The sequence below is a fragment of the Homo sapiens genome, chromosome 4 (genome assembly GCF_000001405.40).
Source record: "Homo sapiens chromosome 4, GRCh38.p14 Primary Assembly".
Taxonomy (NCBI): Eukaryota; Metazoa; Chordata; class Mammalia; order Primates; family Hominidae; genus Homo; species Homo sapiens.
In genome coordinates, this window is record NC_000004.12 from 4368255 (window position 1) to 4384747 (window position 16493).

A 16493-nucleotide genomic window follows, 5' to 3' on the forward strand; every position below is an offset into this window, starting at 1 on the left:
GGGGTTTCCACTTTTGCTTCTTCCTCATTTTTCTCTTGCCGCTGCCATGTAAGAAGTGCCTTTCACCTCCTGCCATGATTCTGAGGCCTCCCCAGTCACGTGGAACCATAAGTCCAATTAACCTCTTTTTCTTCCCAGTCTCAGGTATGTCTTTATCAGCAGCCTGAAAATGAACTAATACACTGGCTCAGAGTGCAACTGGGTGATGCCTCTTTTTAAAATCCCATAGCCTGAAAAACACTTCCTTAATGTAGGATCCAAACCCACCTCCCCACTCCCAGGGCTGGGCTTTGGTTCACACATCCTGCTGCCCACCTTTTCCTTTCAGCCTCTCTGACCCAGAATCAAGCCATTTTCCACCACCGACCCCTGGGTTTGAAAAGGTCCATCCACCCTTACAGTCACTGAGGGCTGGCATAGAGCTGCAGGGGCCTCTCTAGACATGAGTGTTCTCACCTATAAATTGGAGACACTAATACTCCTCACCTCCTAGGAGGAGCTGAGAGTCGCGAGAGATCATCCAGACAATCAGAAGGACAGGGCCTGACCTATTATCAGTGCTCAAGGAAGGCTAAGACTTACTATTGTTATTGTTTGGGGAAAAAATAATGCTTCCTCTTGTGTCCATAGTGCTTGTGAGTTTGCAAAGTGCTGATTTGTTTTCATTCCATTCCAGCTGGGAGGCAAGCTTGCAAGGGCGGGCCAAGGAGCGGGAAGGCCTCTGATCACAGATGAGGAAGCAGTGCTCCAGCCCCATGGTGGAGTGGGACGTAGCCCAGCAGGGCTGCAGGTCGAATGCCTGAGAGCTTCCCACATTTCTCTAGGGGAAGGACTGGCCAGCCCTTTAAAGAGGGAAACTGGGACTTCCGTGATGGGGCTTGGAGAGCAGAAACTGCACCTATTCATTGTGTTCCTGATGCCCCGTGCTGTGCCTGGTTTGAAAGGATAGACCCTCAGTAAAATATATTGGATGAATGAATGAGTGAGTGAATAAGGGCAAGGCAGGGTGGCTGAGTCAGGGATGGGAGATAGTGGCAATGGAGGGCGTGTGCTTAGCAATACCCTAAGCCCACTGAGTGCTGGGCATAGAGCCACACTGAGCCAGCTTGCATGACATCATCACTGGGATCATCAGTCCCGTTTTACAGATGAGGAAATGGAGACCTGCTTACCAGCAGGGAGTCAGCGAGTCCTACATCTGAGATTGAGTTCAGGCCTGTCTGATTCCCATCACACTTCCCAAATATCCCAGAGGTGTATGTGATGGTGGTTCATCAACGTTCGATTCAGGGCCCTGTTTTCTGTATAACTGCAATGATTCTGCTCATGGGAGCATAAGCCTGAAGCCCCAGATCAAGGCCCGGCAGGGTCCATTTCTGGTGAGGGCTCCCTTCTTGGCTTGCAGACAGCCACCTTCTCACTTTGTCCTCCTGTGGTGGAGAGAGAGGGTGAGCTCTGCTGTCTCTTCCTCTTCTTACAAGGGCACAGCCATATTGGATCAGGGCCCAACCCTGACGACCTCATTTCACCTTTATCACTTCCTCACAGGCTCTATCTCAAAATATGTCACAATGGGGATTAGGGCTTCATCACAGGAATTTGGGGGAGACACAAATATGTAGTCCAGATGGTGAGGTAGGCTGAACAATATCCCCCAAAATCTGTCCACATCTTAATCCCCAGATCCTACAAAAGGCTTCTTAAATGGGAAGAGGAGCTTTGCAGATGTGATTATGTGGAGGACCTTGGAACAGAAAGATGATCCTAGGCTATTGAGGGGGGTCTGATGTCATCCCCAGAGTCCTTATAAGAGGGAGTCAGGGGGAAACAGGCAGAGGGAAGGGCAATGTGAAAAGGGAAACAGAAATTGGAGTGATGTTGGCTGGGCATGATGGCTCACGCCTGTGATCCCTGCACTTTAGGAGGCTGAGGTGGGCAGATGACTTGAGGTCAGGAGTTCAAGATCAGCCTGGCCAACATGGCGAAACCCCATCTCTACCAAAAATACAAAAATTAGCTGGGTGTGGTGGTGTGTGCCTGTAATCCCAGCTACTCTGGAGGCTGAAGCAGGAGAATCGCTTGAACTCAGGAGGCAGAGATTGCAGTGAGCCGAGATTGCACCACTGCACTCCAGCCTGGGCAACAGAGTGAGACTCCATCTCAAAAAAAAAAGAAAAAAGAAAAAAGAAATCGGAGTGACGTATTTCGAAGATGGGGGAAGAGCCACCAACTAAGGAATGCCAGTGCGCCCAGTAGGCAGTGAGAAAGGCAGGGAAGCGACTCTATCTCAGCATCTCCAGAAGGAACCAACACCTTGTCTTCAGCGCAGTGAAGCTGAGTTTAGGCTTTGAGCTCTAAACGGTAAGAGAATTCGCCTGTTCTGGGGTCAGCCTCTCCATTTGTGGTAGGTTGTTACAGCGGCAACAGGGAACGAATACAGCCAGGATTAGGTTTGACGGTGAGCAACAGGAAATCCCAACTATCAGTGGCTTCAACAAGATAATTGGCTACAAAGTCTGTAGGTGGTCCGGGGCCATGGAGGGAGGGGCGCTGCTCCCTGGGGTCGTCAGGCCTGGCTCCTCCCAGGACCCTGCTTCACCATCCTGGGTGGGAATCTTAACCTCATGGCCCAAGATGGCATCCACACAACAGGTGGCATGAGGGAGAAGGGGACAGCAAGACAGGGAGAGGGCTGTGCACCAGTGTCCCTTCTGGAAGGCCTCTAGAGCTGCTGCGTACTTCTCTCATCCCTCTTGCCAGAATGTCATTACAGGGCCACACCTTGCCAAAAGGGAGACAGGACGAGGGGGTTCTTATTTTCTGCAAACACATGCCTGGAGGGAATTTTTATTGCAATGGAAGAAGGGGAGAATAGACGTTGGGGATAACCCACATCTCTGCTGTATTTCACCTGTCTGAGCCGATGCCAGTTGGGAATGTGCTCAGCATCAAGGAGCAGAAATCCTGCCCCAAAAGGGCCTAAGCAAGTAAGACTTCGTTATTCTCACTGAGTGAGAAGTGTCTGGGGGGTGGTACAGTGCAGTTGGCCCAAAGATGACCACACTTTGAGGGTGGGTTTCCAATCTCAGATCTGTAGCCTCAGGGACGGAAGAAGGCTGCTGTGGCTCCAGGTGTCATTTCTTTTCTTTCTTTTCTTTTTCTTTCTTTCTTTCTTTCTTTCTTTCTTTCTTTCTTTCTTTTTTTTTTTTTTTGAGAAAGAGTCTTGATCTGTCACTGGATCAGACTGGAGTGCAGTGGCACTATCTCGGCTCATTGCAACGTTCGCCTCCCAGGTTCAAGCGATTCTCATGCGCTTGCCTCCCGAGTAGCTGGGATTACAGGTGTGCACCACGATGCCCAGATAATTTTTGCATTTTTAGTAGAGATGGGGTTTCACCATGTTGGCCAGGATGGTCTCCAACTCCAGACCTCAACTGATCCGCCTGCCTCGGCCTCCCAAAGTGCTGGGATTACCAGTGTGAGCCACTGCGCCCGGCCCAGGTGTCATTTTTACATGTAAGGCAGGAAGAGGGATGAAGAATACTGCCAGACATGTATGTCCCTTTTCCACAGGAGAACAATGGCTTTCCCACACACCCACAAAGACTGCATAGAGTCCCATTGGCCAGGAGGGGATCTCCTGGAACCTCTCTCTGCAAGGGAGTCTGGAAAGCCAAGGATTTAGCTGTCTAGCCTCTCTATTACATAGTAGATGAAAATCCTTATACCCTTTGCACACTAATTCCATTTCTAGGAATTCCTATACCAACAGTTTCTATCAAAGATGTGCACAGAGAACATGCCCAAAGCCGCTCACTACAGCGTTACTTATTGTGAAGAACCCTAAATATCCCAAATGCTCAACCTGTGCTGTTGGGTCCCAAACTGGGTCCCAGTCATTCAGTGTCTGGCCCCAGCACCTCAGTTACTTAATCTGGAAAATAGAAGAAAATGTGTTTTACCTGTGAGGACGATGGTGAGGACCAGAGATAAGAAACAGAGCTTGTGTGTAGCCGGACACAGTGGCTCACGCCTGTAATCCCAGCACTTTGGGAGGCCAAGGCGGGCGGATCATGAGGTCAGGAGTTTGAGACCAGCCTGGTCAACGTGGTGAAACCCTGTCTCTACTAAAGATACAAAAAATTAGCTGGGCGTGGTGGCACACACCTGTAATCCCAGCTAATCGGGAGGCTGAGGCAGGAGAATTGCTTGAACCTGGGAGGTAGAGGTTGCGGTGAGCTGAGTTTGCACCATTGCACTGCAGCCTGGGCAACAGAGCAAGACTCCATCTCAAAACAAACAAACAGACAAACAAACAAAAACGAAAGAAATAGAGCTTGTGTGGTGCATGGTTGCTGCTCAGTCAACGGTCTCCAACCCTTCCTCCAGCACCAACACATCTTCACCAACCAAAAATATGGGGCCGATGTCAACATGTTCGAAGCACCTTATTCTCTAAGATCTCAGGAGAGTGGAACTCCGCCCTCCAACTCTCTAGACTCTGGAGTGAGAGTTATCTGTGTGACAGCGTGGGGACAACACTGGCTTTGGGGCAAGCTGTCTAGGCTCACATTGGTGGTTAGGTGACTTCATGTTCTCTAATCCTACGGAGGGGCCACTCAGCCGTCTTATCTGTATAACGGGGCAACAGTCCTGACCTCACAGGCAATTGTGAGGTTTCACAAAAAATAAAAAAGTGCCCCCAGACAGGGTCTGGAGCCTAGTAAGCCCCCAAAGAACCACTGGCCTTTTGACTCCTGACAGCTGGTATTGGAGGAAGCGCCCATCTCCTCTGACACAGAGGCACCCACAGTAGCAGAGGGAATACTGTAACACAGTTTCCATTCCAGCTGGAAGTTTCCTTGGCCTAGGGCATCCAGGGCTCCTGGCTAAAAGGTGACCTAATTATTAATGAAAGCTCCAGAGATGAAAGCTAAGACATAATCCACCCCTGAATGGACTCAGAAGGAGCAGATAATGGGACAATAAAATTAATCTTGTAGAAAAACACAATTAGCTGTATCATTTATAAATCTCATCTCCTTCCACATGGGGCGAAGAAGGAGCGACACAGTCAGAGCGCTCTCGGCACAGCCTCCCGTTTTGCACACACAAGTGCCCCTTTTCCTGGGACAACATTTTCCTTTCACATTCAGGGGTCATTGTTGGAGGTTTAAAAACAATCTTCAGAAACCAAGATGACCCAGAGAACGAAGTGAATGGCGCCATCCTATATCCCCCCCATTTCTTGCCCGTTTCCCGTCTCTTCAAAGCAACTGAAGGACCATTTAATGAGAACATGTTGGGGAACAGGCCCTGCACTAGGCCAGGTCCTGGGGGAATGAAGGAGCTCCCTCTCTGCCCTCCCAGGGCTCACAGACCAGAGTGGGGAAAGGAGAGGGCACAGAAAGCTGGAGACAGACCCAAGCCCAGCTCCTCCCTCCCAGCTGTGTGACCTTGAGCAAGTGCTTCACTTCCCTGGGCCTCAGTTTACTCACAGGTAACATGCGGCAAATGAGGGTGCCTCCCTCACTCCCACAGCTGGGAGACGATTAAAGGAGACAAAGTCTGCAGATTGCTCACCGGCACAGGACAGGCCCACGGCAGGCTCAGTCGCTGCAAGTTCAGAGTCATCCTCATCCCTGCCATTCCTCATCTTCCTCCTCATTTTACACCGACCATCTCTTTTGAAAAATTAAGATACACCTGAGGTCAGGAGTTTGAGACCATCCTGGCCAATATGGTGAAACCCCGTTGCTACTAAAACTACAAAAATTAGCTGGGCGTGGTGGCACGTGCCTGTAGTCCCAGCTACTTGGGAGGCTGAGGCAGGAGAATTGCTTGAACTCAGGAGGTGGAGGTTGCAGTGAGCTGAGATCATGCCACTGCACTCCAGCCTGGGCCACAGAGGGAGACTCTCTCTCAAAAAAAAAATAAAGTCCTTAAAATGACCTAAAATTATTAAAAATTTTCAAAAAAGAAAAAAATTGAGATATAACAATTCACATACCATAAAAACTCACCGTTTTGAGGCATAGAATTTGCTGGGGCTTTTTAAGAGTATATTTTACGGTCATGCACCTATCACCACTATTTAACTCCAGGATAGTTTCGTCATCCCCCCAAAACATCCCATACCCAACAGCAGTCACCTCCCACTCCCTCCACTCATCTGTTTTTTGTCTCTGAGGATTTGCCTCTTCTGCATGCTTCACATAAACGAATCACACAGCATGAGGTCTTTTCTTGTCTGGCTTCTTTCACTTAGTCAAATGGTTTCAAGGTTTAATCATGTGGTAGCATGTGTCAGTGTTCCATTCCTTTTTTATGGCTGAGTAATATTCCACTGTACAGCTAGACCACATTTTGTTTATCCCTTAATCAGTGGATGGACATTTGGGTTCTTTCCACCTGTTGGCTATTACGATTAACGCTGTCATAAACATTCATGTACACTTTTTTGTGTGAACTTGTTTCAATCCTCTTGAGTGTATTCCTAGGAGTGGTGTGGCTGGGTCATAGGATGACTCTATGTCTAACTTTTTGAAGAACTTTGATGCTGTTTTCCATAGTGGCTGCACCATTTTACATTCCCATCAACAACGTCTGAGAGTTCCAATTTCCTTGCATCCTTGTCAACACTTATTATTGGCTGGTGTTTTTTGTGGCCATCCTCTGGCCATCTCTTGTATCTCTCCCTCCTGTCCATCTCCATGGCCTTACCCTCATTCCACCCTCGCCTTCTCCAGCTTGGACTGTGGGCGCCACCAAGAGTTTCTCATTCCAGAACTGAGCTCCTGAGGATCTCAGGGTTCCCAGGTCCTCCCATGGGCTTCTTGTGCTTGCCTCTAGTAACTGCAAAGGCTTCTGAGCTGCCCAGTCACTCAGCAGTCGGTAGCATTGCATGGTTCCTGGAACATGCTCATTCCCTTTTGTGTGCCTCAGTTTCTCTACCTGTGAACTGAGGTATTGAACTGGATGAGGGGCTCACACTCAAGCACCCACAGGGCCAGGCAGGCTGGGCAGCCAAGGTGAGTGAGGCACAAGCCCCACATCTAAGGCAGGAGAGGGAATGGTGGGTGCAGGAGGTGGGCAGCCATTCTCCCCATGGAGCTGATTTTTGCCACGTGGGAATGTCTTTGTTGTGAGGTCTCTTAATTTTTCAGAAGAAGGCAGTAAATTTGCGTGTTTCATGAAATCTGGTTTTTAAGTGTTTCCAGTAAAGGCAATTTCCTTCCCTCCCTTCCTCCCTCCTTCCCTTCCCTTCCTTTCTTTCTTTCCTCCCTCCCTTCCTCCCTTTCCTTCCTTCTTTTTTTTTTTTTTCTGAGACAAGTTCTCATTTTGTGGCCCAGTCTGGAGTACAGTGGTATGATCATAGCTCACTGTCACCTCAATCTCCTGCACTCAAGTGATACTCTCACCTCAGTCTTCCAAGTAGCTAGGACTACAAATGTGCTGCACCACTAAATTCACCCGATTGTTTATTATTATCATTATTATTATTATTTTGTAGAGACAGGGTCTCATTATGTTGCCCAGGCTGGTCTTAAACTCCTGGGCTCAGGCAATCCTCCCACCTCGACCTCTCAAAGTGTTGAGATTATGGGCATCAGTCATCGCACCCAGCTGGCAATTTTCAAAACATACAAATGAGTATAGCTCACCCTGCAGAATTCCCGTTTACAAACCCAGAACCGATGATTCTGAAACTTAAGTGTGCATCAGAATCTCCCTGGAGGGTTTGTTAAAAAGCAGCGTTCCTGATTCAGCAAGTCTGGGGTGGGGCCTGAGCATCTGCATCTCTAACACGCTCCTAGGAAAGGCTGATCTGCTGGTCCAGGGACTGCACTTTGAGAACCAGAGCCCTGGACTAATGCTTTCTGGGATCCACCCCAGCTCTCCAATGCAGGTTTATGATTCCAAAACCCAATGTAGAGGCACTGTGCTCAGAGAGAAGAAGCACCGCAAGCTGGCTAGGCTCCAGACAAGTGCAGCAAGACCCATCCCTGTCCTGTCCTGCAAAGGCCACCAGGGAGGGACAGCAGCATTGAGTGGGGACCATGCATCTTCCCTCTGCTGAGCTCTAATCAATCCGGGGAATTTGGACTCGTGAAATGCTTCAAAAACTCTAAACAATGCATATGATGTCCAAATATGTAATATATTCAAACATAAAGGGAAAACACATTAAAAAGTAGAAAAGCTATCTGGGCTCGAGAACCTCCGTATTCATTTCCTGGGGCTGTCATAACAAATTACCATAAACTGGGCAGCTTAAAACAACAGAAACCTACTGTCTCAGAGTTCTGGAGGCTGGAAGTTCAAAATCAAGGTGTCAGCAGGGCTCCATGCCCTCTGAAGGCTCCGGGGAGGCTCCGTTCCTTGCCTCTTCCTTAACTGCTGGAGGCTCCTGGGGATCCTTAGCATCCCTTAGCTGTGGCCGCATCCCTCCAGTCTCTGCCTCTCTTGTCCCACAGCCTTTTCCCTGTGTGTCTCCCTGTGTCCTTTCATTTTTTCTTTTTTTCTTTTTTGAGACAGAGTCTTGTTTTGTCACCCAGGCTGGAGTGCAGTGGTGCTTTCTCAGCTCACTGCAACCTCTGCCTCCCTAGTTCAAGCGATTCTCCTACCTCAGCCTCCCCAGTAGCTAAGACTACAGGCATGCACCACCATACCTGGCTAATTTTTGTATTTTTAGTAGAGATGGGGTTTCGCCATGTTGGCCAGGCTGGTCTCAAACCCTTAGCCTCAAGTGATCTGCCTGCCTTGGCCTCCAAAAGTGTTGGGATTACAGGCGTGAGCTACCACACCCAGCCATGTCCCTTCTTCTTATAGGGATACTAGTTATTGGATTGAGGTCCACCCTACATCCAGGATGCTCTCATCTTAAGATCTTTACCTTTTCTATCTGATTGGACGTATTTCCATAAGGTCACATTCTGTGGTCCCAGATGGACATGAATTTTGGGGGGACACCTTTCAACCCAATACAGCCTCTTTCAGATGTCATTCTGATAAGTTCAGCAATTTGGACTCTCTGCCCATAGCAGATTAGAAACAGTGCACTGGAAAGAGCGAGGGGTGCACTATGAGGATCGCGTCTGCAACCGCTGTGGGGACGGCGGCCACAGAGGCAGCGACAAGGGCAGGGGCAAGCCTAGCCAAGCCTACAGCCTGTGGACAGCCAGTGTGGGGCACGAGTCCCAGCCCATAGCACCCAATCCAGTTCGGTCTATGGTGTTCATGAAGCTGACCTGATTCTTCAGCAAGAGGTTAAATTCTTTCCAACGTCCTCTGTTTTGGAAAGCAGGACGACGTGCTCTGCATTTTAGAATGACTCTGGTCCAAAATGAGGAAAATTAGACCTAGAGGGATAAAAATTCAATCTCTGGAAAATCTGCTCATGAGGACCCCAACCTTATTCCTGAGCTGGGCCTGAGAAACAAGGGGAGAAAAGGTGACAGATTATGAACATTAAAAAAAAAATAAGAAAAATGTCATGTCATGGCCAGAAGTTGCAGGACAGCTCAGGGCCTGTGCATCAGGGCTGGCCTAGGGGTTACGTGCTAATTTCACTGTGCTGTGGCCACCAAGCCCCAGACCCAGCTGCACGGATGGAGGCATTCCAGACGGAAAAGCCCCATTAGGTCATCGCTACGCCGCCTGCAATGCCGTTCAGCCTTCCGCTGTGTAATCTCCAGCACACTCCGGGGAGACTGTGAATTTCAGACACTCTCCCAGGGACCCTGGCTCCACAAAGCATGAAATGAATTGCATTCATCCATCTGTGGGCTTTTAAAAAATTCAATAATTAATTCAAGCGTATGGCGGTATCACTGTTATTAGAATTTGGCCTTTCTGCGGTTCTTTACTTTGGCAAAGTGCTTTTATAATCATTTACTGGCTAAATAATTTAATACGAGTTATTGCTACAAGCTCGAAATCTGGTACTTAGCTGGTGCTGAGGGACATTGGACTGCTTATGAAAAAAGCAGGGGAAGGGCGGAATGGAATTATGTGGCCTTCGTTATTTATCCCCCCGGTCACGCGTGGTCACTTGCTTGACCTCAGTGTGTCCTCGATAACTTTGGATCTGATTCATCCTGGGCCATTCTTGCCATCGTGACAGCGAACACAATGTGGGGGGGCACTTCTCAGGGGGAGGAGAATTAGTTATTCCAGTCCAAACCCCTCATTTTATGGAAGCGGAAACGGAGGTGGGGGCACGCTTTGCCCAAGGCCACATGGCTAGTATGAGGACTAGCATCAGCTCAGGACCGGAGGAGAGTATTCGGCTTTAGGGGATCCTCCCTCCCCACTTTATTACAGTCAAGAAGGGAAAGAGAGGTGTAGCTAGGTCTCCTGTCAGCCAGCATGGGCCGAGAGCAGGGCTGGGCCTGGGGACAGTAGGGGGCTGCATTGTTGCTCGGGAGTCCACCCCTCTGACCGAGTTCTTTCTTTTTTTTTTTTTTTCCTTGAGATGGAGTCTTGCTCCTTCGCCCAGAGTGGAGTGCAGTGGTGTGCTCTCGGCTCACTGCAACCTCCACCTCCTGGATTCAAGTGATTCTCCTGCCTCAGCCTCCCGAGTAGCTGGGATTACAGGGGTGCACCACCATGCCTGGCTAATTTTTGTATTTTTAGCAGAGATGGGGTTTTGCCACGTTGGCCAGGCTAGTCTCGAACTCCTGACCTCAGTGATCCTCCCACCTTGGCCTCCCAAAGTGCTGGGATTACAGGCGTGAGCCACCGCACCCGGACTCTGACCGAGTTCTTGAAGTGCCTGGTTTTCTCCCTCCTGCCAACATATCTTCCCAGCATCTTCTCTTTTTTTAATGTTTTTATCTGCATTATTATTTTTAATTTAATTTAATTTTAAGTTCTGGGATACATGTGCAGGACATGCAAGTTTGTTACATAGGTAAACCTGTGCCATGGTGACTCGCTGCACCTATCAACCCATCACCTAGGTATTAAGCCCCGCATGCATTAGCTATTTATCCTGATGCTCTCCCTCCCCTCGCCCTCACAACAGGCCCCACTCTCTGTTGTTTCCCACCCTGTGTCCGTGTGTTCTCATTGTTCAGCTCCCACTTATAAGTGAGAACATCCAGCATCTTCTTAATAATCATCTGTCACCCAAGCCTCGGTGGCCTCATCTGAGAGATGGACTATGAATAGAAACAGCCCTAGAATGTGGGTTGAGGGCATTGGGAGAAATACCTAGAAAGCACTTTGGTGCTCCCTCTGTATTCCCTGATGACACATGCTATTTAATATGGTCATTTACACCAATGATGATTGTTACCTTATCTGAAAAATGGGTGTAACAGTATCTGTCCTTTCTACTTCAGAATTTTTGTGAAGCTAAAAAAAACAAAGATAGTGACAGGGAAGGTATTTCATGGTCATCATCATCACCTAATTTTTCGCCTGGAGGATGGTTAAAGGGGGTTTCCTCCTTGAGGCTCTAGGGGGCTTCAGGGAGCAAGAAGTATTCTCCTCAGCATTTGCATCAGTAAAGATACCAAGAGGTTGCAGGGGCCACGCCAAATGGGGTCATGTGAGGAGATGTATTTCAAAGAATTGTCTGCAAAGGTGGCCAGGGTGTAGGGCTCAGAAGAAGCGTTCAGTGGCCTGGGCTCGCAAGGGGAGCTATTGCCATCCCTGGGCCAGCAGGAGGAGGGGAGGGGGTGTGACAGGGTTCTGGAAGGGCTGAGGCTGCCTTGGAGGAGAGGTGGCGTTTTTTGAGGAACAGGGTCAGTCTGAGGCAGCCAGGGGACAAATGCCTGTTGGCCAGAGGGCAAGGGAGTCCACTGCAGCGGCCACAGTCCATCCAGCCCAGCTCCTGTCCTAGAGACAGGATCTGCCGGGCCAAGGGCAGAGGCCCGCACAGCACCATTGGTGGATCAGAACAGCGAGGGTGCCTGGGGGTTGGGAGCTTTGCTGTGGAGGCAGGAGTCTGGCCTGGTCTGTGAGCCCCCCTGCCATGGCTCACTGGGGGTAACTGAACAGGCAGAAGTCCAGGGACAGGCTCCACCTCTCCTCTGAGTGGCCGGCAACAATGCACCTTACTCCCTGCTGGCCCAGGTATAAAATGAAGGCATGAACTAGAGGATTATTCAACCTTGGAAAAACCCTTGACCCTAACATAATTGTTCATTCGGTCCACATTTCGCCCCCTCCCCTCTGCAAGACTGTAGAGCTCTATCTTCTGAATTTGACCCTCTCCCAAAAAAAGGCATATTGGATGCACTCTTTAGAAGTTCACATGTGCGGCTGGGCGTGGTGGCTCACGCCTGTAATCCCAGCACTTTGGGAGGCTGAGGCAGGCAGATCACTTGAGGTCAGGAGTTTGAGACCAGCCTGGTCAACATGGCAAAATCCTGTTTCTACCAAAAATACAAAAAAATTAGCCAGGCGTGGTGGCAGGCACCTGTAATCCTAGCTACTCAGGAAGCTGAGGCAGGAGAATCATTTGAACCTGGGAGGTGGAGGTTGCAGTGAGCCAAGATTGTGCCCCTGCACTCTAGCCTGGGTGAGAGAGCAAGACTGTTTCAAAAAAAAGAAAAAGAAAAAGAAGTCCTCATGTGCCTCCCTCCCCTGCCTCTGCTGGGTTTGGGGGCTGGGCTGCTTCTCCGCTCTCCCCTCCACCCTCTCCATGACGCAAATCCTAGACAGGGAGAACATTTCTTGACCTAAATATTTTTCTACTCTAATGTCCTTAATTTTAGAGTTGGACAGGTTGGATTATTTGAAAACAGCCTGGGTTGTGAGAGGAAAATGAGCAGGCCAGAGGAATTTGGAGCTGCCAGCATCTTGGAGGTGAGCATCCAACCAAAGAACACTCAGCTTCTGCTGCCTTTATGCCCATCGATCACCCCACATTGCAAGGTTCTCATCACAAATCCAGAAATAGGACTCCAATGGGGAGTATTTGTAAATCATCTTTTCTTAGATAACAAATCCTGGAGCTGAAAGAAAACATGTGTGACCATTCTTGTCAATTTACAGATGAGGAAACGCAGGCCACAGAGGGCTTTTCACCAAAGCCTTTGGCTGTCTTTTTCTTGCTCCCACTCCCCCAAGGTCAAGTGCCTCACAGCCAAAGCAAAATGGATCTTAGAAATAATTTGGGAAAATCAGGAATTGCTGAGTGGTTCATTAAGACTATAAGACAAAACAGCAACAACAAGCAAACAAAATCCCCAAACCCCCAAACTAAACACGCAGACACAATTCTGTTTAAATACATCATCGGTCATCAAATGATTCTGAGCCCCATAATCGTATTTACCCAGTGAAAGCAAAGAAGTAGAGTGAGTCCATTCATTTCTTAGCCATTTACTGAGCGTCTCATGTGGCCAAGCGCTGGGAAACACAAAGGTAAATAAAACGCTGGAGAGCACTAGAAACTATATTTATGATTTCATTTATATATTATGTATTTTAAATAATAACATTTGGGGTTTTCCAGAAATGGGTATTTTGCAGTAAGGTGAACTCTAAGAAGAGAGCATCACAACGATGTCATGGGCAAACCTGCCTTCGGTTTTAATTAGACCATGAATTTTCTTTTCTTTCTTTCTTTTTTTTTTTTTTTTTTGTTCTTGTTCTGTTGCTGAGGCTGGAGAGCAGGGTGCAATCACAGCTCACTGCAGCCTTAAACTCCTGGGCTCAAGCGATCCTCCCACCTCAGCCTCCTGAGTAGCTGGGGTCACAGGTTTGTGCTACCACACCTGGCTAATTCTCTCTTCCCTCCCTCCCTCCCTTCCTTCCTTTCTTTCTTTTTCTTTTTTTTTTTTTTTTATGGGGGTCCACTTTGTTGTCCAGGTGGTTCTCAGACTCCTGGGCTCAAGGGTTCTTTCCACTTCAGCCTCCCAAAGTGCTGTGATTAAAGGGATGAGCCACCAGGCCTGACCTGACTTTCTTACTATGCACTTGAATTCGAATTTACACCTCTGATGTTCATGTCTTACTTTACTGTGAATGTAAGCTAAGTGGATGCCTATTCAATTAAGCAAACATTTCCTGATTACCAGGCCATGCTCTAGACAGGGGGGATATGGAAATGAAAGATTAAGTGGTTCTGCCTGATTTGCTCATGATCTATATAGAAATGTAAATACCCAGACTCCGGGATAGAGGAGCATAAAGAAAGGCCAAGCTTCAAAGAGGAGGCAACATTGGATCTGGGCTTTGGAGGATGAGGAGCAGTTTGCAAAATCGATGAGGAGTGGGGAAGGCAATCTAGGCAAGAGAAGCAGCATTTGCAAAGGCCTGGAGGCAGGCACTTGGGGGAATGGAGAATTTGGCTACAGGACAGGGTTTAAGGAGAAACAGGGATGACTTCACCCAGGTGGGCTGATTCTTCACATTGCAAATGGATTGTCCCATTTGCAGAAAGATCCAGAGCCTAATGTCTCTCCCGATTCTGTGTCAGTGTGCCGGCTGATCCCAGTGTGCCGGCTGGTCCCAGCGTGCCGGCTGGTCCCGTGGATTGAGAAGTGGACCCAAGAAACTTAAAACCATCAGAGATGAGGATGTGTGCAGGGAGTGACTGTTGTGGGATGCAGGTTTCTTTACGGGGTGATGAAAATGTTCTGAAATTAGTGGTGATGATTGTACAACCTTGTAAATATACTAAAACCAGTTAAGCGTATACTTTAAACTGGTGATATCTGTGGCATGTGAATTACATCTCAATCTAAAAACAAGACATTTGGATGAAGCATCGCTGGATCGACGTGGCCAGGCTGCAGAAAAACAGAGCAGAACCTCTGCTGATCACCTGCCACTGAACCTCCATAGGCTGACAGCACTGGGTGGCCACCCTCCCAGCAGGACCTCATCCATCCTGGAGATCTGGCTGGCTGTGGGAGGCCTGACTAGATCCTGCAACCCATCCCAGCTCTGCAGGGAAGCCTGTGGCCGGGGACTCATCATTTGACTTCTGTGACCTGCAAAGAGGCTCATGAGGCCTCTAGGGGAAGAGTCACCTTAGTCACTCTGAACACTTGTCACATAACCAGGAAAAGTGTCTATCACCTCGCCCTGGCTCCAGCACCGGCTGCTAAGAATAGAGACCACAGGAGTACAGAATTAGAGGTCAAAGCAATAGTAATACCTAAAACAGGCACTTAAAAAAATAAGAATAGCTCATTTGATTCTCACAACACTGCTCTGATGGAGGTTTCATTATCTCCATTTATAGATGGGGAAACTGAAGCATAGAAAGGTTAAGCAGCTTGCCTGAAGTCACACTGCTAGGAAGAGAGGGACAGGATTCAAAATCGGGCCACGGCTTAGCCACTGTGTCACATTGTCTCTTGCTGTGACAGTCTGGACTTCAACCAGTGGGACAAGGGAAGTTGCTAAAACGCTTGGACCTGGAAGTACCAGGGTCATTAGAGAGCAGCGCCTGGCTGCCCTGAGGAGAGGGAGCAGGGTAGGAGTTACAATCGTACAGGCAGTGATGGGTCTGTGCCTGAGATCAGCAACCCTGGAAGTATTCCTAAAAGAGTCATTTAGGGCCAGGTGCAGTGGCTCACTCCTGTAATTCCAACACTTTGGGAGGCTGAAGCAGGTGGATCACGAGGTCAGGAGATCAGGACCATCCTTACCAATATGGTGAAACTCCGTCTCTACTAAAAATACAAAAATTAGCTGGGAGTGGTGGCACGTGCCTGTAATCCCAGCTACTCAGGAAGCTGAGGCAGGAGAATCACTTGCACCAGGGAGGCGGAGGTTGCAGTAAGCTGAGATCACGGCACTGCACTCCAGCCTGGCGACGGAGCAAGACTCCGTCCCAAAAAAAAAAAAAAAAAAAGAGTCATTTAGAAAAACTGAGTATGTGTCAACAATCTTCTGTGGCACTTGGATTTTAAATTGTTGGTGCTGGGATGAAACTGGTCCAGGGGGAGATCGCATCCCATTGATTTTCCCTTTTTGTATGTTGTGAAAATACCTGACATCTGTTTGACCTGCAACCACCATTGCAGCCTCAGCCATCCCCATTTTGGTGGCTGTGGCTTCTTCAACCTAATTTCTGCCACCCTCTGTGAATGACTTGGGTTCTCCAAATCACCACACCCTTGCAAGCTTAATGCCTGTAGTGAGCTGAATGGCGACCCTTAAAAGATATGTCCACATGCTAACCCCGGGAACCTGATTTACCTTACATAGTAAAAGAGTGAACATTATCTTATATGGCAAAGATAGGATTAAGTTAAGGATTTTGAGAGGGAGACCTTATCCTGGATTATCCCAGCAGGCCCTAAATCCTATGATGAGTGTCCTTATAAGAGACACAGAGAAGAGGAGGAGGCAATATGACTGGAGTGACATGAAGGCAGAGATTGGAGTGATGCAGCCACAGTCAAAGAATGTCTGGAGCCACTGGAAGCTGGAGGGGGAAAGAACAGGTTCTTCTCTGTGGCTTGTAGAGGGAGTGAGGCCCTGCTGGGACCTAGACTTTAGACTTCTGGCCTCCAAAGCCA

At 48.6% G+C, this 16493-nt stretch overlaps 1 long non-coding RNA gene across 2 annotated transcripts; it reads left to right on the top strand.

Annotated features, from left to right (window-relative positions):
- The first annotated feature begins 2117 nt into the window (after positions 1–2117).
- Positions 2118–16355, top strand: LOC112268462 (uncharacterized). Of its 2 annotated transcripts, none has more exons than XR_007058004.1 (3): positions 2118–2361; positions 12729–12819; positions 16268–16355. It is a non-coding gene; the product is annotated as an uncharacterized LOC112268462 (long non-coding RNA). The 2 variants fall into 2 exon arrangements; XR_002959778.1 differs by lacking the exon at positions 16268–16355 and adding an exon at positions 13621–13658.
- The last annotated feature ends 138 nt before the right edge of the window (positions 16356–16493 follow it).